The sequence below is a fragment of the Homo sapiens genome, chromosome 2 (genome assembly GCF_000001405.40).
Source record: "Homo sapiens chromosome 2, GRCh38.p14 Primary Assembly".
In the NCBI taxonomy this organism is placed as follows: domain Eukaryota; kingdom Metazoa; phylum Chordata; class Mammalia; order Primates; family Hominidae; genus Homo; species Homo sapiens.
The window spans coordinates 189,746,660-189,767,965 of NC_000002.12; the positions used below are offsets into that span (position 1 = coordinate 189,746,660).

Genomic DNA, 21,306 nt, shown 5'->3' on the forward strand with positions numbered 1-21,306 from the left:
CATCTTTTAAAAATTTTTTTATTTTTAATAATGGTAATATGCAAATAACATAACTGAATAATCTTTTTGAATGAAAGTTCTTGATCTCGATACTAAGCAGATTTTCCTTAGCATGTCTACAGGAATTTAGTGTCAGGTCAGAGTTATGGTTTCAAAAAATTAGGATTTCTGTAAACAAAGGCCTGCACTTAAACCTTAAAATTTATTGACTGACATGAGTGGTATAACTAGTGTATATATCAAGAGTTAACATTTTTAAATTGGTGTGCAAGAAGCCTGATTCAAAGTAGCTCACATGGTAACATTTATTGTAATACTTTGAGATATTTAGTAATAAATATTACAAATGTATAAGTCTTCTAAGACCCAAAATGTATACCTTAAGAAACATTTTGGCTAGGCATGGTGGCTCACACCCATAATCCCAGCACTTCTGGAGGCCAAGGTGGGAGGATCACTTGAATTCAGCAGTTCAGGACCAGCCCGGGCAACATGGCAAGAGCCTGTCTCTACAAAAAATAGAAATAAAGTTGGCTGGGCATGGACATGCACACCTGTAGTCCCGGCTATTCAAGAGGCTAAGGCAGGAGGATTGCTTGAGTTCAGGAAGTCAGGGTTGCAGTGAGTTGTGATCTGGCTACTGTACTCCAGCTGAGGTCAGAGAGTGAGACCCTGTCTCAAAAAAAAAAAAAAAAAAAAAGTCTGAGAGTCAGTGGATGAAGCAGAAAAGAAAAATTAAAAAAGAAAATAAAACAAAAATTTTTTAAAAGGGAAAAAAAGTTTTATTTAAAAATAAAATCTGAAATCATTGCCCATCAAGTACATGAGTATGGCTTTTGTGGCTAACAGTGTTGCTCATTCTCCATATTTATAGTGTCTTTGGTTTGCAACTGGAAAGGGTAATAGTCTTTGTGGCTTAGAACCATATGATGTCTTTGCTCAAATAGCAATGTCTGCTTCTCCTATTTTATAGCTGCAGATAGATATGATACAAACACCTGGCTTCACTGTGTACTTTATTTTACTTACTTACTTATTTATTTATTTATTCGAGATGGAGTCTTGCTCTGTCACCCAGGCTGGAGTGCAGTGGCAGGATCTTGGCTCACTCCGCCTCCTGGGTTCAGGCAATTCTCCTGCCTCAGCCTCTTGAGTAGCTGCGGTTACAGGCGCCTGCCACCACACCTGGCTAATTTTTGTATTTTTAGTAGAGATGAGGTTTCACCATGTTGGCCAGGCTGGTCTTGAACTCCTGACATCAGGTGATCCGCCTACCTTGGCCTCCCAAAGTGCTGGGATTACAGGTATGAGCCACTGCGCCTGGCTTCACTGTGTACTTTAAAGCTCCCCTTTTCTCCATCCACTTGCTGAATTGCCTCCATACAGTCTGAGGGTCTTGCTATAATCCATTCTCTACCTGGGCTGCAGTAAGCATTGAAAGTATATATTAATTAGCGGTTATTTTCCCCGATATGTACTTAGGGCTTTCTATGTGCTAGAGTCCAAAGTCAGTGGGTGAGTGAGTGGGTGAATGAATTATTATTTATTTATTTGTCTGTTTAAGACAGGGTCTTGCTCTGTTACCCAGGTTGGACGGCAATAGTGCAATCATAGCTCACTGTAGCCTATAACTCCTGGGTTCAAAGCAATCATCCCACCTCAGCCTCCTGAGTGGCTAGGGCTACAGGTTCTCAGTCTTTGTTATGCTGAGTGTGGTGGTACAGGCGTGTAGCCCTAGCTACTCAGGAAGCTGAGGTCTCTGCTATGTTGCCCAGGCTGGTCCCGAATTCCTGGCCTCAAGTGATCCTCCTCCCTTGGCCTCCCAAAGCATTAGGATGAGCTACCATGCAAAGTTTGTGTTCTTAACCACTAAAAAATAAGAGACCTCTTTAATCTTCATATTTACTTCTAAATTATCTTAATGGTGCTGAGTCACAACTTTCTGGTGGATTGACTGAAATATAGGAAATGCGGAGGGAAATGGTCTATTTTATACTAGAAAGGGATACATATTCAAGTGATGAATTGTGTTATCCAGCACCATTAAGGATAAGAATTTATAACAATGGAAATATTAAGTTTCTGTAGATATTTTTAAAAGCCTTTAGAGAGCAACTTTTGAGCTCTGAAACTGGTTTCAGGTAGGCTCAAGACTATACTTTAGGACTATTTTCAGGTTATCAGAGTTTCTTTGCATTCAATGCCAGATATTTCCTGAGTATCTTGGCCTAGCCAGACCATCCTACCACTCCTAAAATTTATACTACTTCTCCTATAAATCTCCCCTATAAAGATTATTTTTATTGGCTGGGCATGATGGCTCACACCTGTAATCCCAGCACTTTGGGAGGCCAAGGCGGGTGGATCACATGGTCAGGAGTTCGAGACCAGCCTAGCCAGCATGGTGAAACCCCATCTCTACTAAAAATACAAAAAATGAGCTGGGCATGGTGGTGCTTGCCTGTAGTCCCAGCTACTCGGGAGGCTGAGACAGGAGAATTGCTTGAACCTGGCAGACGGAGGTTGCAGTGAGCCGAGATCGAGCCATTGCACTCCAGTCTGGACAACAGAGCGAGACTCTGTCTAAAAAAAAAAAAAAAAAAAAAAAGATTATTTTTATTACTCCACGGTTTTTTTTTTTTTAAACAATGTGTGAAAAGTCAGGCCCTGGAGGCTGAAGTTGGAGGATTACATGAGCCTAGGAGTTCTACTCCAGCCTGGGCAACATAGCAAGATGCTGTCTATAAAAATCGAAATAAAAAATTATGTATGAGAAAGGCCTCCAGATATAGAGGGTTACATTCAAAGAATTGTACATTTAGTTACTTTAATCAAGGCAGAAAAACAGTGATAAGCTTATAATATTTGCAGTACAAAGTTTGGATTAAAAAAAAATCCAAAAAAACTCCCTCATTTATTTCCATCTGATTATATACAATTTCTCAAATAACTGATGTGAAAGTATGTGGACAACTAAAGCGTACAATACATACTTGAGGGATTACTTATATGTTAAAATTGTAAAACCTCAAATTATATAGATTTTAAAAAATGCATAGACATCCTATTTACTCCAGAGATGATACCTAATAACGAACTCTTAAAATTAATAACATATTATGTTAGAGAAAGTCAGCTTTTGTCTTGATTTGGAAATGTCTGCTTTGACATGACTGATCTAAAATTGCTCTCTTGAGCACATCTGTAATCCCAGCATTTTGGGAGGCTGAGGCAGGCAGATTGCCTGAGCTCAGGAGTTCAAGACCACCCTGGGCAACATGGTGAAACCCCATCTCTACTAAAAAAACAAAAAATTAGCCAGACGTGGTGGTGGGCTCCTGTAGTCCCAGCTACTCAGGAGGCTGAAGCAGGAGAATCGCTTGAACCCAGAAGGTAGAGGTTGCATGCAGTAAGCTGAGATCACGCCACTGCAATCCAGCCTGGGTGACAGAGGGAGATTATCTCCAAAAAATAATAATGATAAAAAAAAATTAAACTGCTCTCTCATTATAAAGTCAGGTTCTTGTTTCAGTAGGAGTTAAAAAATAGCTTCTCCTATCCTGATTTGAGGAAGTGGGGGAAAGTCCTAGGCCTGTATGATACAGGGCCAGAATTCAGCAAAATTACTGTGCTTCTTTCAAAGCTTCCTTTCTACCTGCCAGCATCAATACATTCCTTTCTCAAAAGATGTTTTATTTTGGTTTTTAATAATTAAAAGAAAAAAACTATCTTCCCTTGTAAGACTTTTAACACATTATAGTATCTCAGAAGAGCAGGTAAAACATCAAATAGAAAAAAAAAAATAAAATCTTGATGAATAATTAATATTATATATCTTCTACAATTTGATACACAAAACAATAAAAACTTAATTTTAACCTTAATACTACCTTTAGGGACTTTTTTGAACAGCAGAAATCATATCTCCATTTTTAATTGTGGTACTTTTATGGAAGCTTCTCCAACTTCTTTTGATATGTCTACTCCAAGAGGACATCTACATCATAAGCAGACAAATCGTATTATTTATTTGCTTCATGATCCATCACTAGTTCTGCAGACTATTTGCTTAGAATTCTGATGGTATAAATATCAAATATTTAATTCATCATATGTGGTGATGATTCTTAAATACTTACAAATATACTGGGACCTCAAGTCAGGATAATGAAAGCTAGTCTCATTAATAAGAAATCTAAATTTTGAGATATTTTTGAAAGAAACAGTTTTGCTGTTCTCAAATACTGTAAATAAGTTAAAAACATAAAATGAAATATAAAAATAATGAAAAATATCTTATAATTCTCTACAAAGCTAAAAAGGTAAAAACATTTTTGCCACACAGCTAAAGTCAAACCTGTATCCATTCACATTTTAGAAATGTCCTAGGTTTCTATAGGTTCTTCTCTGAAGTTTCAAAAGCTGCCTTGCCCCTTTTCTACCATCCTTTGCCATTACTAGCCAAAGAGGTCTTAGTTCCTGCTGTCTTTTTCTGTTCCTCCTCAGTAACTAATTTTTGCTTCAGATTTCTGCTTTTCTACCATGGTGTCCAAGATAAGGCTTTGCTTTGACTGAATCCCAACCTGGAAAAAGCCATTATCTCCAGCCTCAACACTGCCACAAGGGGGCATAACTGAATCAGAGGATATACTCTATCTGAGACAAGGTATCAAAGGGATGCCTTCCGGTACTACTAACTCAATTCAGTTCATTCATCATCAGCATACATGTAATTCATATATAGCACAACTGTCAAGTTACGGAATATAATGCTGACAAGTTGTGTTTTTTTTTTTTTTTTTTGAGATGGAGTCTCACTCTGTCACCCGGGCTGGAGTGCAGTGGCGTGATCTCGGCTTACTGTAACCTCCACCTCGAGGATTCAGGCAATTCTCCTGCCTCAGCCTCCCGAGTAGCTGCGATTACAGGTGCCTGCCACTACGCCTGGCTAATTTTTGTATTTTCAGTAGAGACGGGGTTTCACCATGTTGGCCAGGCTGGTCTCGAACTCCTAACCTCAGATGATCTGCCCACCTCAGCCTCCCAAAGTGCTGGGATTACAGGCATGAGCCACCATGCCTGGCCAATGCTGACAAGTTTTAAAACATCAGATGAAACAGTGTTCAAAATATAATTATTTATGAAAATAATTGTCTTTTACTATTCCAGAATTAAAACAGAATTTGATAGTAATTTGAAAAACCAGCCAGGTGTGGTGGCTCACACCTGTCATCCCAGCATTTTGGGAGGCCGAGGTGGGTGGATCACTTGAGGCCTGGAGTTCGAGACCAGCCTGGCCAATGTGGCAAAACCCAAAAACTAAAAATACAAAAAATGAGCTGGGCACAGCTGTGTGAACCTGTAATTCCAGCTACTCAGGAGGCTGAGGCATGACAATCACTTGAATATGGGAAGCAGAGGTTGCAGTGAGCCGAGAATGCGCCACTGCACTCTAGCCTGGGTGACACTAAGACTCTAAAAAAAAAAAGAAAAAAAGTAAAGAAAAAACTGTGCTATTCACTGGAACTTTGATTTGGGAGAGGAAATAAGGCTTGCAGGAAACAGCTATCTTTCGGCCAATTCTCAACTGCCTGTGTAAGAGCATAATCACAACCCACTCTCACACCTGAATGCTTTCTGCATGTTTTCCTTAAATTTCCCAGCATACTTGCTGGTTCTGAGATGTTCTTGACATTGCAAAAGTCCAGGTCATGGACATAGTTTACATTCTAGTTCCAAAGGAGGGAATTCATCACCCTTACTCATGACCTGTTTCTAACTCACCTAAACTTGCCAAGATTTTTATAATTTGATACTGTAGCAAAAATATTTCTCATATGGTATCAACCTTAACTAGGTTCATGAAAGAAATTTATGTAACTTTCCTTCAAGTACCACCAGAATGTCAATGAAAACCTCATATATAAAGGCAAAATCCAGGCTTTGTCTTAAGTAATGTAACTTGCATAAAGATCATGAATGATACCACATACTTTGGTTCATAGCGGATGCCTTCTATGTCATGTAAAATGCCCAAGCCAGCACGTAGTCTTTCAATACCATTCCTAAATAAGAAGCATTAAAATAAAATCAATAGCTCCAAGATCTGAAGGAAGAAGGCTTAGTATGATAAAATGGCAATTAATATTTACATAGTTATGAGTGAAGCACGTATATCCTGTGGCTTACCATGCAATCATAATGCCATTATCAGTGCATAGTCTGGGAGGAGGACACAACAAAGTGCACTGTGTTGCATTTGTTAAAATTTCCAGAGCTCTGCGGATATAGAAGTTACTTGCGACACCACCAGATGCAACCTGAAGGAATTGAGAAAACCAAAATAACTATCATATATGGATATGAACCAAGCTGCTAATTAAACCTGGAGAAAAATATCAGCATTAAACAATAATAAACTATCCCATTTTGAGATGGGTAATGGGCAGATGACATATCTATGTAATAAAAATTTGGAAAGAAAAAAATTACTAATAATTCTAATAGCATACAAACATTACTAGCATTTTTGTATATTTTCTTCCAACCTTTCATCTAAATATTTATTTAATATAATTTCAATCATAGTACACTATTTTAGACCCTGAAATTTTTATTATTTTGTGCATTTTACTACATAACTCTGAAAAAATTATTCTTTGATATCCATGTAAAATTCCATCTATGAATTACTACCATTTAAACATTTTCCCACTTTAGTTTATAATTTTTAAATGAATAAAGTTTAAGATACAGTTAAACAGGATGTTTGTCAAGGCTTTTAAGCACAATTAAAGGGATTTTGGCTGGTACAATATAGTGGATTATCAGAACTTTATCAACATTAGTGTCACGAAAGTTGGTATACCACCTCCCACTGCTAAATTTGACTGGCTTATTAAAAAAACAAACAAACAAAGGGATTTCATCAAAGGATGAAGGAAATCCACCTATTTTTCTAAAAATAGTGATAGCAGTTACTGCATTTACTTTCTTTATTGTAAGCCCTCTTTTAAATCCAACAAGAAGATGCAAAATTAGACTTATGTGCCATAGAAGCTATACAGCTGTCCCATAAAGCTACCAAACTAGTACAAGAAATGGCTGTTAGTCTTTCCTATCCTGCATAATTTCATACTGTCAGGGCTAGCATAAGGCATAAAGATCTGTTCATCCTAAACACAAGGTCAAGGTCTTGGGAAAAAAGTAACATATTGCAAAGTGTAACTATTACTATAAAATGAGATAAAACTTACCAGTACTGCATTATTTTGAGGTAACAAGTCTCTCTGCTTACAAAACAGAATAGCCCGATGTGTTCTTTTCACAAGATGACATGCCATTGTGTGCTGTACTGTGGCAGCAATGTCTGCTGCTGAAGACAGGATTTGCCCCTTCTCAATACCTGCAGAAATGAGCAGCTATTTTTAGGCACAATCCAGGAATATTTATCTGTTCAACTTTACTAATTAGAAATATACCTTCCTCTTTTTCCTTTTTCATTATTATTTTATCAGTAACGTGTTGAAGTCCAGTAAAAGAAAAATCACAATTTTTAGCATGATGCAAGGGAGGTTTGATGTCAAAATGAAATCTATTTCCTTGTTTGGCCAAATGTTCTATGGCTTTCCCACCACTCATGGTGGAGCACTCTGGATGTTTTATTAAAGAAAGTCTTCTTGCCACCTATCAAAGAAACATATTTTTTAGAGTCATAAAATTAAATACTGTGAAACGAAAAGATGCAAAGGAAATAAATTGAAAATTACTAACAAAACAAAAAACCCCTGAATGAATAAAACATGCTATACTTTGGCAAATATAGACTATAGCTGATATTCAGGTAAGCAGACAACCCTGTTCCTTATGATGACCCGAACAATAAGAGGCCAATCACTGCCCCTGTCTATGTTTGCTCTTCTATTGGTTGGAAAATGGGCTTGAAGTTGACAATAACTGCTTAATGATGAACGTCAATAATAAGAACTTGTCCTATACTTCCTATTATTTCACTGTGGGAAGCAGTGTTTTGTTTGTTTGTTTGTTTGTTTTCCTATATATGGCAGTAGCCTCTGTAGTATTCTAAAACAAAGGGGGGTGGGGGGGGACCCTGTCTGTGGTGTAAGTAATTGTGTGATTTAATTCTGTGCATTGCATCTTTAATGTCCTTATGTTAATCTATATATATTCTCTTATTTTACCTTTTTTGCAGTATGTTAGTTTACGAAGCACGTTCTTTCACATACATTATTTGGCAAAATACATAACTGTATCTGCAAACTATTTCAGCCTTTATGTACAGATATGAACCTCTTACCATTTTATTAAGAAAGGCTAAGAATTATAAAATTGTGTACTACTCTTTCTATTTTTTCTCACCATATGTGAATTTTTTTCAGTTTACTAAGATAAAATTCAGAAATATTTAGGTGAATGGTGGTAGCACATCTATTGCTACTTAGTTGAAATGGACAACATAACAAAAAAGAATGGAGAAATTAATTCTTAATTACCTTGTCAAGCATGTCACCTGGTGCTATGTCCAAAGACTTTCCAAGAAGCAGAAAATCTGAAACTCCTTGAACTAATGCCAACAGACAGTGACCTCCAGAAATCAAAAGAACTAAAAAAGGAAATTCTACTTTATTGGTCAACCTAATAGTAAGTGCATGAGCCTCCATATGATGAATGGGAATGAATGGCTTTTTTAACTGTCCTACCAGCTGTAAGCTAAATGATAAGCCCACTCCCAGGCTTAAAGCAAGTCCTGGTTTTATGGTAGTTGCAATTGCTGAGAGGTCACTTGGAGAGACTCCACTGGCAGAAAGAGCTTCTTGTACTATTCGTTGAATATTTTCTCTGTGAAGCTGTTGAGCTGCTGGAGGAACAATCCCACCTGTTCTGAAAGAAAGAAAGACAGCATTTTGTAGTTTTAAGATTGTAAAAATGAAGAAAAATGATATTACAGCTAAAAGCATGTCTTCAAGTTAATCATTATATAGCTGAGTAAGTCAAGTATTTTCTAATTGTGTGCCTTCTAACATAGCACACTATGGTTAAAACTCAGTAAGCAGTAATTAAGGGGATAATGTTTCTGACTTTTTCAGTTTATGCACAACAGACTCCCATGGATTTGTTTGTTGACAAATGAAATCACCAAAATAATCTTGTAAAGCATTCCATACAAGTTTTGAGCATGGGAAGGACAGGAAAAAATTGTATTTAAGGAAAATTAATTTCCTTGCTGACAGAAGATTTTAAGAGAGATTACTGCGAAAGTATTTGTGTAAAATGATTATATCTTAAACTGGGCGATTGTGGGAATGGAAAGAAAGGGACAGAGAACCTTAAGAACTATAATAACTAACTGAATATAAAGGGACAGGGGGACTAAGGCATCAAAGTTTGTTCAGCTATTCAGCTGGAATGACCGGGAGAAAAGAAATTCTAAAAGAGAAACATGAAGACAGTTTTATAAAGACGACGAGTTTATTTTAAAACACATTCCACTTGAGGTCACAGCAGGATAGCAGATAGCTTGCAATCCTGAAATACAGTTTGGGAATCTGGTGCTCAGAGTTTGTAATTTGGATTTTTGGTCCATGTAGGATGGTGGATGGCCACTCCAAATATCAAGTGTAAAGAACTAAGAGACAAATTTGCTAGCAACAAATTTGCTACCATGTGATTGATTTACAATATGAGAACTGGAGCAATAAAATAGAGTCTGCAAAACGCACTGCTAGTTTCAAAAAAAAATCATCTTCCAATATTTGATGTTGCAAGATCTACTAGTTCTATGTGTAGAAATGAAAATCCTCAGTAAGTGCATTCAATGAATATTTGCTGAGTAATTAAAATATTGTTTCAGGCAATGAGGGGGATATAAATGAAATGATCTGATTTCAACACATCCACATTGTAATATAATTTTCCTTAATTCTTCAAAGCTACTTTTTCTCTTATATTCCTCATCTTTGTTAGTGGCATCAAATAACCCTTGGGTTTCAAAGTTCATCTTTACTTCCTTTCTCTCCCTCACTCTCCGCATTTAAGTTTATCACCACTCCCACTGCCAAGTCTCAAAAGCCCTCATCTCAGTCTGTTCAACAGTCTTCTAATTGTACTTTCCTAACTCTGTCCTTTGATCCTTAGAGCCCATCCTATATTGCTGCCAGAGAATACTCTAAAGCACATGCTACCAGTTATTCCCCTACTCAAAACCTTTAGTTTCATGGAATTTGGGAGACATCAAATCCAAATTCTCTCCCTGCAACTCATTTCTTCCTTCTCTGTCTTGCCTCCCTCCTTTCCTTTCTATGCCTTTTCTGTGTATTTTATCTTCCAGGGATTATGCTAAACACTAGGGCCAAATAAGAACATGGCTTTATTCTCAAAGAATTAATAATAACAATGTATTTTTGTCTATGATTTGTAGACAGTATGGAGTGTGGATTATGGAACAAAGCTAACAAAGAGGCAGGGAAACCACTGAGGCTTGAAGCTATAGCCAAGAGTCTGTGCAAAAGACAATAAGGGATTGAACTCAGTCAGTGAGAAGGGAGAGGAAAGTTGCAAAAAATATTTGGGAGATGGATTTACTATGAATGGATGACTGATTTGGATGTGGAATGGTGAGGGAGAAGTCAAGGGTGTCCTTCAGGTTTCTGGCTTGGAAGAAGGGACTCCTCCTGCCAAGTAATCCTCTATTATTGCATTTTCCATGCTGTTTCACAATGATCTGCTTACTGTCTTCTTCATTTTTACTGATGGTAGTAGTAGAACTACTATTGTTACTAAGAGCTAGCTTGTATTCAGCCCTTGCTATTCAAGAAGAATGCCCTAAAAGCTTTAAAGGAATTCACACTTAATATTCACAACATTAATTTGAGTTAGTGGTCATTATTATCATTTTACAGATAAGGAAACTGAGGCACAAAAAACTGTGCACAGTATCAAATGTAGTAAATGGTTGAACCAGAATATAAGCCTAGTAAATGGCTGAACCAGAATATAAGCCTACACTCTAACCCACTTATATGGTGAGCTGTTCAAAGGCAAGAGTCATATGTCTCATTTATATTTGTATCCCAAATGCCCTAAGTATTGCCTGGCAGCTATAGGTATTCAAAAAATGCTGAGATGAGCCAGGTGGATGGTATCACTGAAGCCTGTTTGCCCAGTAGTCTCCTCAAGTGACCTATGCTCTAGCTAAACTGAATGTCTAGTACTTTCTCACTTCTTTGTCTTTGCTGACAATGCTCACTTAGTGATATGGTTTGGATCTGTGTCCCTGCCCAAATCTCATGTAGAATGGTAATTCCCAATGTTGAAGATGGGGCCTGGTGGGAGATGACTACATCATGGGGGCGTATTTTCCCCTTGGTACTGTGTCGCGATAGTCAATGAGTTCTCATGAGATCTTGTTGTTTAAAAGTGTGGGCCGGGAGTGGTGGTTCACGCCTGTAATCCCATCACTTTGGGAGGCCGAGGTGGGTGGATCACTTGAGGTCGGGAGTTCGAGACAGCCTGACCAACATGGAGAAACCCCATCTCTACTAAAAATACAAAATTAGCTGGGCATGGTGGCGCATGCCTATAATCCCAGCTATTCTGAAGGCTGAGGGGGGAGAATCGCTTGAACCCGGGAGGCGGAGGTTGTGATGAGCCAAGATTGCACCATTGCACTCTGGTCTGGGCAACAAGAGCAAAACTCCATCTCAAAAGAAAAAAAAAAGTGTGTAGCACCTCACCCCCCCTCTCTCGGTCCTGCTCCTGCCATGTAAGACGCCTACTCCCAATTTGCCTTCCGCCATGAGTAAAAGCTCCCTGGGCCTCCCCAGAAGCAGATGCTGCCACGCTTCCTACACAGCCTGTGGAAACACGAACCAATTAAACCTCTTTTCTTTATAAATTACCCAGTCTCAGGTATTTCGTTATAGCAGTGCAAGAATGAACTAACACAGGTTATAATATTCTTTCCATCTCCATTCACTGAAGGCCTAACGAAAGGCCACTGAACACCTGTGATGTGTCAAACATTGTGTTAGGCACTAGGCATAGCATAGTGATTAATATAGACATGGCCCCTGTCACCTTGGCACTTAGACTCTACTGAGAGAGATTATACATACACAAGCAAATGTATAAATTGTGAAAGTATTACAAAGAAAATATGCAGGGTATGATGATACAGAATAAATAGGATGGGAGTACCTAATTTAGATAAAGTGGTCAGGGTAGTCCTTTCTGTGCCATTAACTTTTACATGTTCAAAAGTTCAGTGCACTCAGGAAAAACTGAAAGGACTGTGAAGCTGAGGCACGGTAATAATAGTTACTGTCTGCACCACTTGTTTTTCCTTATGCTATGCTGCCTTGCACTATTAATTCTCCTTGTAGGTCTAGACATCATGTCTCCATAATCAAGTTAAGCTTCCTTAAACCAAGGACTTTGCAGTACTTCACAGTGCCTTACTAATATCCAACACAGTCCCTTTCACATAGTTATTGTTTGAGGCTCAATCTGCCTCTTTACATACATTATTTCTAATGCCACCCTCCCGTAATTCTATGAGGCAGATGTTAATTTTCCTTTTTTTTTTTTTGAGACAGACTCTCACTCTGTCGCCCGGGCTGGAGTCCAATGGCGCGATCTCTGCTCACTGCAAGCTCCGCCTCCCGGGTTCACGCCATTCTCCTGCCTCAGCCTCCCAAGTAGCTGCGACTACAGGCGTCCGCCACCACGCCTGGCTAATTTTTTTTGTATTTTTAGTAGAGATGGGGTTTCACCATGTTAGCCAGGATGGTCTCAATCTCCTGACCTCATGGTCCACTTGCCTCGGCCTCCCAAAGTGATGCGATTACAGGCGTGAGCCACAGCGCCCAGCCAATTTTCCTATTTTACTGATGTGAAAACAGAATCAGAGAGGATATGGAACTTGCCTACAGTTACAGAGCCAATACCAAGTGCTTAATTCAGGATTCAAATACAGGACTGTGATTCCAAAATACCAGGCTTTTTCACTATTCAGATGTTGTAAATTGATAGCTTAAAGGTATACTCATCTGTAGAGTATTTTATTCTTATTTATTTATTTATTTATTTTTTTAGTATTTATTGATCATTCTTGGGTGTTTCTCGGAGAGGGGGATTTGGCAGGGCCATAGGACAATAGTGGAGAGAAGGTCAGCAGATAAACATGTGAACAAAGGTCTCTGGTTTTCCTAGGCAGAGGACTCTGCGGCCTTCTGCAGTGTTTATGTCCCTGGGTACTTGAGATTAGGGAGTGGTGATGACTCTTAACGAGTATGCTGCCTTCAAGCATCTGTCTAACAAAGCACATCTTGCACCGCCCTTAATCCATTTAACCCTGAGTTGACACAGCACATGTTTCAGAGAGCACGGGGTTGGGGGTAAGGTTATAGATCAACAGCATCCCAAGGCAGAAGGATTTTTCTTAGTATAGAACAAAATGGAGTCTCCTATGTCTACTTCTTTCTACACAGACATATTAACAATCTGATCTCTCTTTCTTTTCCCCACATTTCCCCCTTTTCTATTCGACAAAACCGCCATTGTCATCATGGCCCGTTCTCAATGAACTGTTGGGTACACCTCCCAGACGGGGTGGCAGCCGGGCAGAGGGGCTCCTCACTTCCCAGAGGTGGCGGCCAGGCGGAGGGGCCCCCACCCCTAAGACGGGGCGGCTGCCGGGCAGAGGCGCCCCCACCTCCCAGACGGGGCGGCTGCTGGGCGGGGGCGCCCCCCACCTCCCAAGAGTATTTTAATATATTCTAAATTAGCTACTAATGTAAAAAATCTGCAAATACATTAACAATCTGGATTTCCAGCCCGGCGCGGTGTCTCACGCCTGTAATCCCTGCACTTTGGGAGGCCGAGGTAGGTGGATCAAGAGGTCAGGAGATTGAGACCATCCTGGCCAACATGGTGAAACCCCGTCTCTACTAAAATGCAAAAAATCAGCTGGGCGTGGTGGCACGTGCCTGTAATCCCAGCTACTTGGGAGGCTGAGACAGGGGAATCGTTTGAACTCGAGAGGCGGAGATTGCAGTGAGCCGAGATCATGCCACTGCACTCCAGCCTGGTGACAGAGTGAGACTCTGTCTCACCAAAAAAAAAGAAAAAAAAAATCTGGATTTCCATTTTCCCTTGAAAATTATAATAATCTAATAACACAGGTCCTGCATTCCCACATGACAACTGGCTAGAGCTGAGTAGTGACCTCCTCCAGACATTTTCCACTTTTTATCTTGTCCATTTATTTAGGTAACCTGCCTGGTAGTCCTCTATAAACATCACAGTTTATAATCCTTGCACCATTCTATGCTTTAATACAACAGTGTATTATTATTTAAGTACTAATACAAGTTATATGTATAAATATGAATAGGATTTTTTTTTTCAATGACTAACAGTTTTCCTAGGACTTCAGCTGAGACCATGAAACATAGAAGTGGAGAAAAGAAGGAATGCATTACTGAAGGAAAATCAATAAATACGGAAGCTGGGAATGAGCTCAGTTTCTTTTGGCAACAGGATTAGTTAAGGTTGGGACCTTATTGTGAAGACCCTTAAAAGCCAGGATGAAGTGTTTGAGGTTTTCTATAGCAGTTATTAAAAGTGTTTGCAAAAAGGAATAAGACAGTAGCTCCTGAAAACTTTTATATATGACAAATACAAAAGAATGATTTTACTTTTTCCAAAAAAGTGGAAATGACTAAGATAATGTCTACTTACTTTAAATGAACTTCAGTTTGGGAATGTATTGCTTCTCCCAACACATTTCCAGTTTCATCCACCACAGCAGCTGCTGTATCATCACAACTAGTTTCAATTCCCAATACTATTTTATGAAGAAATAGTGTTCCAGGATGAAAATTAAAACTTCTTAAAAATTCATAAACTTTCCTTTTTGATGGTTTAAAAAAAACTCCTGCAGTCTTAGTCAAGATTAGCATACTTACTCTATAGATAATTCCTGAAAAAGAATTACAGAAACAACTTATTATTTGCAACTGACATTAGCCAGCTTATTTTTCAATATATAGTTTTACAGAATTACAGGAAAGTTTGTAAAAGTCACCAAAAGTTTGTAAAGGCTATAGCAACATGGGAATATAAATAATATTATGAATGAATATAATGTTCTCCAAGGGGGAAAACAGGGGTCAGATATAAAATTTTTTAGTATTATTATTACTTGCATGCTGTTCCTACCAAAAGACTTACTATTAAGACAGCTAATATAAAGTACAATAATTGATAGAGTCCTCTGAAAAGTGCTATTTATTTTTTGACAGCTAAAATTAAGACAAAATGTGGATTTTCTAAAAAGAATCAAACAACAAAGGCAGATGGAACAGATAAAAATACTGTTAATGTATTCCATCTCCTAAAAACATCTTTCAAAATAAAACTGGATCATTTGGTTCAAAAACAAGAGTTAACATAAACACACACACGCCAACTGCAACCTAACACCTATTTTATCCTTAATTGCAATCTTTGGAATTAAATCTCCACTTTTTGCTACAGGTTTTGTCATAACAAGGATCTTCCCAAATCCTTTTCCCCCAAAATAATAGCAGCCCATCACTAAAGCACACTAGTATTTTCACACTGCGAAGCACCTAATTTTATGCCCCCAGATCATCCGTTCTAAAACTTTCTGGGTGTTAAAGCAGGGCCTTTCTCCACCACACTAAAGGGACACGGCATCCCAGGGATTAGAGATGAGCGACCTATTTGCAGAAGGCAGTTGCGGGCAGTGCAGCCCAGACAGACACAACCTAGAGGAATTAGATTTGCATTAACAAAATCTGGACAAGGAGGATTGTACGAAGCACTACCCTTTCGGGCCAAGAAAGCTGCAGGCTGAACCCACGTGACTTGGGTAGCGCTGGTCTCCTGTCGGCTGTAAGGCGGCGACGGGCGCAAACTGGAACCGCTTTTCCAGGTGCGCAAAAGCGTCAGTGGGGTGAAGAGTGAGCAATTTCACCCACCTTCCACTTGGGCGGCAGTAGCTAGCACTTGTCTCCTTTCCCTACTAAAGACTGTCGACTGCCCTTATCGCTGCAGGAGAAAGCCCGAACCTGGCGCCCGGAAGTGATGTCATCGGAACTGTGCAAGGTCCCGTCCAGAGCTGGCTGCTGTTCCGCTAGCGAGCGGCATGCTTAGTGAAGAAAAGCTTAAAGGCCGTCTTTGCCCAAAACGCTCTCTGTGCGCACCTGCATTTCCCCCAGATTTGCAGGTGATGAGAGTTCTGTAAAATTACACAGCTAGTGACTGATCCAGCGGAGGCCGAATACAGGTTTGTCTGACTACACAACATCAAGTTCCAAACACTAAGCTACATTAAAAAGAAATTTTTTTTTTGCCCTTGGCTGGAATTTGGTTGCTACTGTGAGAAAAGGATGGGGTAGATTATTCGTCATTCATTTTTAAGGGAACTATCATCAAATCTAAACTTAGGGGTGAGGTACCTGATACTTTCATCGGAGAAATAGGATGGAATCTAGCGGCGCCCCCTAGCAGGGTTACCAAAGAACGGAAGTGTTTCTCATCGGACAGTGTAAACCGTTTCTCCCACTTCACTAGGAAGAAAGGGGCTGGCTTATTTTTACAATTAAAAAAAAAAAAAATCGGGAGACTGAGGCAGGAGAACTGCTTGAACTGGGACCCGGGAGGCGGAGGTAGCAGTGAGCCGAGATCGCGCCACTGCACTCCAGCCTGAGCTACAGAGCGAGACTCTGTCTCAAAAAAAAAAAAAAAAAAAAAAAAAAGGCTGTGGTAAATATTCAGTTGCCTTAAACCATCCTATTTTCATAATGCATTATGTTGTCCTTCCTTACTATGTACATGAAATTCAGCATGGTATGTTTTCAAAGTCTTGCACCTGCTTTTTTTTTTTTTTTTCTTTTATTGGTTTGTGAACTTTGTTTTGAACATTGGACAGATTTATTCCAAGAGTCAGGCTTTTCCCCTGCTGGTATTTAAGATTTTAGTAAGCAAGGACCTTAGAATCCACTGTTGTACAGGGCTGGCATATATACCTGCACTTTGCACGTTGTGAAGCTCTGGGTATAAAAGATGAGTAAATCCCATAACAACATGTTGGGAAGCCACAGAGTACAGTCTAGAGGTGGATACAGATAAATAAGTAAATAATTACCAGAATATGGTTGAGGTTTTTTATTTGGAACTTATGTTTTTCAAAAATTTCATTTATGTGTAACAATAATGATAAAGTGGCACTATGTACCAGGCACCTGCTGTAGATTAATTTCTTTCAAAATCCCATGAAATAGTTTCTGTCCTCATTTTACAGGCAACTGGGCCACAGAGTTTGGGTGCTTTGGAGGTCACACAACTAGGAAAAGCAAAGCTAGGATTAGAAGTCAGGACATCTGGCACTGGAGTCTGTTTTCTTAACTGCTAGAAGAGAAAATAACTCACATTTTCTCTAGGGTGCACTGTTGGCCTAAACAAGGGAAAAAAGAAAAATTAAAACCTAAAAGTTAAGAAAAATTAGTCATACGGTTAGAGAGGTCAGAGCTTATTTCTGTTATACACTGGAATCCAGTTTGAACATAAAACCTTTCACATCAGGTATTATTTTTCTTACAATTCCAATTATGTTCAGCAAGTATATCCCAATGCTCTTCTGTGCTGTCAAGACAAGCAAGATCCTATTGTGTGTGCTATCATTGGTAGATTCCTCGTCTAGGCACTCTTGGCCAGTGTTGAGTCCGAATGCTGTTATTATGTGAAACAGGAGAACTCTAGGGCACATTAGTATGGAATTTTATCTTTCCCTTGACCGAATATATGTAAAGTGGCACTTATACAAGTCCCATGTATTTAGCAAAGATATACATTTTTTATGTTCTCTATTGTAACATAGGAGAGGGTTATTGGGGGAAAGGCATGTATGCTCTCTGAGGCCTGTCTGTACTTTTATGCAGATAGTTAGAATGCCACTCATGGGCATTCTCAAAAAATATGGCCTATGTAAGTTCAACATAAATCGAGAGTTCCAGCTGAATCTAGATATGCTTATTTGGTCTCAGATATTGTGTGTCTAGCTTTCCATTTGTAGCCTTCAGAGGAAAATTTTATTATTAATACATATTATATATTAAAACATATAAGAATCTTTCTTTTTTTTTTTAGATGGAGTCTCACTCTGTTGCCAGGCTGGAGTGCAGTGGTGCCATCTCAGCTCACTACAACCTCCACCTCCGGGGTTCAAGCGATTCTCCTGCCTCAGCCTTCCGAGTAGCTGGGACTACAGGTGCCTGCCACCATTCCCAGTTAATTTTTGTATTTTTAGTAGAGATGACATTTCACTATGTTGGCCAGGCTGGTTTTGAACTCCTGACCTCGTGATCCACCTGCCTCAGCTTCCCAAAGTGCTGGGATTACAGGCATGAGCCACCACGCCTGGCCCAAATCCTATTTTTCAATATTTATTTCCTAATTATGTCCTACTAGGTTAGGTTTTATTTTCATTTGTTACATATTTATTGGGTTATTTCCTTTATGCTAGGAACTTTATTAGTATAAGGATACAGATAAGGTCCATTCTCTGTTCTCAAGAATCTGAGTCTACAGGCAGAAGACAAAATGCAGTACAGAATTATGGAAATGTGAATGGAAACTGCATTCAGAGAGGGGTATTGCTTGGGAAAAGCCACATTGGCGTGCCACAGATGTATGCCAGCCTGGCAGGCCCATAGTGTGATTACTTGAGTTTCAATATCTGATTCTTTTATAGGCTTGAAATTGGTTTATCAGGTCTGGAAGTGACTGGACTCTGGAGTACTGAGTTACCCACCACAAACTGCTAATAAAATGCTGTGTAAAAGCCATTAATACTAATGTATTATTTATGAGAAACACAATTATGGGGAAGCTAGGATAGTTGAGTTTGCTGGTCATTATCTTCCTTGTATTGACCAAATTACAATGAAGGCTAAATCCAAATTATAATCAGAAGATTGCTTGGTAAATACAGAACAGAAACAATAGAAATGTGTGTGGTGCTTTTAATGGCTAGTATTTCAAGCCTGATGCAGCCCTTTCCACTTGAGTCACATTGTCTTACATTCTTTGACTTGGCTAGTGCTAAAAATACATTGCCATTTTACTTTCTCCATTTTTTTTTTTTTTTTTTTTTTGAGACGACGTCTGGATTGCAATTGGTGTGAGGTTGGCTCACTACAACCTCTGCCTCCCGGGTTCAAGCGATTCTCCTGCCCCAGCCTCCTGAGTAGCTGGGACTACAGGTGCACGCCACCACGCCCAGCTAATTTTTGTATTTTTAGTAGAGACGGGGTTTCACCATGTTGGCCAGGATGGTCTCCATCTCTTGACCTCGTGATCCACCTGCCTCGGCCTCCCAAAGTGCTGGGATTACAGGCGTGAGCCACCACGCCCAGCCCATCCTTTCTCCTCTTAAATTTTCTTTGCTGACCAGTATCTCTTGATGTGGAACGTTCTTTCATTAGTGGTAATACTGTCAATCAGGTCTTTGGAAGATATTTTGGGTTTTGTTTGCTGAACCATTATGCTTATTTTACAAATTAACTTTTCTGAACTTTATTGTGGTAGAATTTACATAACAATTTACCATTTTGACCATTTTTAAGTTCAAAGGAACTAAGTACATTCACATTGCTATGCAACTATGACTACCATCTAGCTCCAGAACCTTTTCATCTTCTCAAACTGAAATTCTGTACCCATTAAACAATAAGCTCCCAGCCGGGCACAGTGGCTCGCGCCTGTAATCCCAGCACTTTGGGAGGCTGAGGTGGGCGGATTACCTGGAGTCAGGAGTTCGAGACCAGCCTGGCCAACATGATGGCCATCTCTACTAAGAATACAAAAATTAGCTGGTTGTGGTGATGAATGCCTGTAATCCCAGCTACGTGGGAGGCTGAGGCATGAGAATCACTTGAACCTGGGAGGCAGACGTTGCAGTGAGCTGGGATTGCACCACTGCACTCCAGCCTAGGCAACAGAAGGAGACTCCCGTCTCAAAAAAAAAAAAACAAAACAAAAACAAGAACCAATAAGCTCCCATTCCTTCTGCCTTCCAGCCCTTGGCAACCACCATTCCACTTTAAATTTGATTATTCTAGGAGTTCATAAAAGTGGGGTAACACAGTATTTGTCATTTTGTGACTGACTTATTTCACCTATCATAAAGTCTTCAAGATTCATCCAAGATGTAATATATATCAGAAGTTTCCTCCTTTTTAAGGCTGAGTAATATTCCATTGTGTGTATATGTCACATTTCTTTTAACCATTCATCCCTTGATGGACACTTGGATTGCTTCCACCTTCTGGCTATTGTGAATGCTGCTGCTGTGAACATAGATGTACAAATTATCTGTCCAAGTTCCTGCTTTTACTTCTTTTGGGTATATACCCGGAAGTGGAATTGCTGGATATAATTTTAATTTTTGAGGAATCTCCATACTCAGATGATCTTATTTCCTTATTTTTCAAGTGTGTGGGTCTATGTGTGGTTTTGGCAGGGAAGCGAGTCTCTGTTATTCCCACATACTCCCCATGACTGTTAAGTGCTGTGTTAGAAGCATATGGTTTGATGAGAATTCTAGGAGAGACAAATGTTTCAAAGGATCTCTGTATTTTCACCGGCAATAACTAATAAATCATCTGGCTTCGCTGTTCCCCCTGTAAAAATTATAAAATGGAGAAAATAATGCATGTTTTATCATCTTGGTAAAATGGTCAACATAAATGCAGAATATTTGAAAACTCCGGGGTTTTCAAAATAAGATTGTCAATAAAAATTTATAATTGCTAATTGGAAAGTCAGAAAATTTATACACTGTAAAATTCCTTTCATACTTTATATCTTAAAACTATTTTACAATGTTAATGAAGTGGCTTATTTCTTTACTAAAGTTCTTGTATTTAAGATTATTTTATCAACACATACTTATGCTGTCTGAGTGAACGGACACTGTGATAAACTGCCTTATCTGCTAAACTTAACATTATTTAGAACTTGAGAGCTACACGTAAGTCATCCCATAACCATTGTTTATCAAGGGCTTGAATAATTAGTCAAGAAATGAAATAAATTACAGTGCTACACTGAAAACCCAACTTTTTTTACTATTTTTCTAATTATGAAATATTTCAGATTTTGAAAAAATTAAATACTATAAACAACTTCTGTGAGGCCAACATTCAACTTGAGATAAAATCATCCAATACAGTTGAAGCCCTGTGTCCTATATACTTG

At 39.0% G+C, this 21,306-nt stretch overlaps 3 protein-coding genes and 1 long non-coding RNA gene across 42 annotated transcripts in view, besides 2 other annotated features; 2 read left to right on the forward strand and 2 right to left on the reverse strand.

Moving 5' to 3' along the window:
* Positions 1–16,400, forward strand: part of ANKAR (ankyrin and armadillo repeat containing) — an 88,390-nt gene extending 71,990 nt beyond the window's left edge. For 3 of the 6 annotated variants that reach the window (XM_011510677.3, XM_011510682.3, XM_047443451.1), the window contains one exon: positions 14,439–14,660. In XM_011510677.3, the coding sequence (XP_011508979.1) occupies positions 14,439–14,467 (29 nt within the window). In that variant the 3' untranslated portion in view covers positions 14,468–14,660. Of the gene's footprint in view, positions 1–8,522; positions 8,610–14,438; positions 14,661–16,101 lie in introns of those variants that run through there. The other 3 variants (XM_011510676.3, XM_011510681.2, XM_017003413.2) reach the window with 3 other exon arrangements.
* OSGEPL1 (O-sialoglycoprotein endopeptidase like 1) lies at positions 1–16,539 on the reverse strand. 29 transcript variants are annotated; one of them, XR_002959323.2, is made up of 10 exons: positions 16,506–16,538; positions 14,761–15,001; positions 8,514–8,901; positions 7,482–7,686; positions 7,257–7,405; positions 6,190–6,320; positions 5,994–6,065; positions 3,891–3,997; positions 1,276–1,422; positions 1–509 (listed from the first exon to the last, which is right to left on the reverse strand). XR_002959323.2 is itself a non-coding variant. In NM_001376101.1 (10 exons), exons 4-9 carry the CDS (start codon positions 8,523–8,525, stop codon positions 3,919–3,921), a joined length of 648 nt encoding a protein of 215 aa, NP_001363030.1. In that variant the 5' UTR covers positions 8,526–8,623; positions 8,721–8,901; positions 14,761–15,001; positions 16,026–16,133; the 3' UTR covers positions 1–672; positions 3,891–3,918. The 29 variants fall into 29 exon arrangements, 25 of the variants coding, with proteins under 25 accessions (NP_001363030.1, XP_024308808.1, NP_001341276.2 ...); NR_164768.1 differs by lacking the exon at positions 16,506–16,538 and adding an exon at positions 16,026–16,133; NM_001376101.1 differs by lacking the exons at positions 1,276–1,422; positions 16,506–16,538 and adding an exon at positions 16,026–16,133 and having other exon boundaries at positions 1–672; positions 8,514–8,623; positions 8,721–8,901.
* Positions 15,616–15,775: an enhancer, noted in NCBI's record as "active region_16853". NCBI's record gives its function as "activates an Ori minimal core promoter by ATAC-STARR-seq in GM12878 lymphoblastoid cells {active_cell/tissue: GM12878}" and the evidence as "EXISTENCE:reporter gene assay evidence [ECO:0000049][PMID:35858748]".
* Positions 16,062–16,808: an enhancer, noted in NCBI's record as "H3K27ac hESC enhancer chr2:190627447-190628193 (GRCh37/hg19 assembly coordinates)". NCBI's record gives its function as "activates a minimal SCP1, AML or CMV promoter by ChIP-STARR-seq in primed H9 embryonic stem cells {active_cell/tissue: H9 hESC(primed)}" and the evidence as "EXISTENCE:reporter gene assay evidence [ECO:0000049][PMID:30033119]".
* OSGEPL1-AS1 (OSGEPL1 antisense RNA 1) lies at positions 16,121–18,897 on the forward strand. The gene is made up of 2 exons (NR_102429.1): positions 16,121–16,333; positions 18,196–18,897. It is a non-coding gene; the product is annotated as an OSGEPL1 antisense RNA 1 (long non-coding RNA).
* ORMDL1 (ORMDL sphingolipid biosynthesis regulator 1) overlaps positions 17,200–21,306 on the reverse strand; it is a 20,481-nt gene continuing 16,374 nt past the window's right edge. For all 6 annotated transcript variants that reach the window (NR_163942.1, NM_001371387.1, NM_001371384.1 and 3 more), the window contains one exon: positions 17,200–20,729. Coding sequence is in view for 5 of the 6 variants with exons in the window: in NM_001371384.1 (NP_001358313.1) it covers positions 20,700–20,729 (30 nt within the window). In the remaining variant the exon portion in view is untranslated. The remainder of the gene's footprint in view (positions 20,730–21,306) is intronic.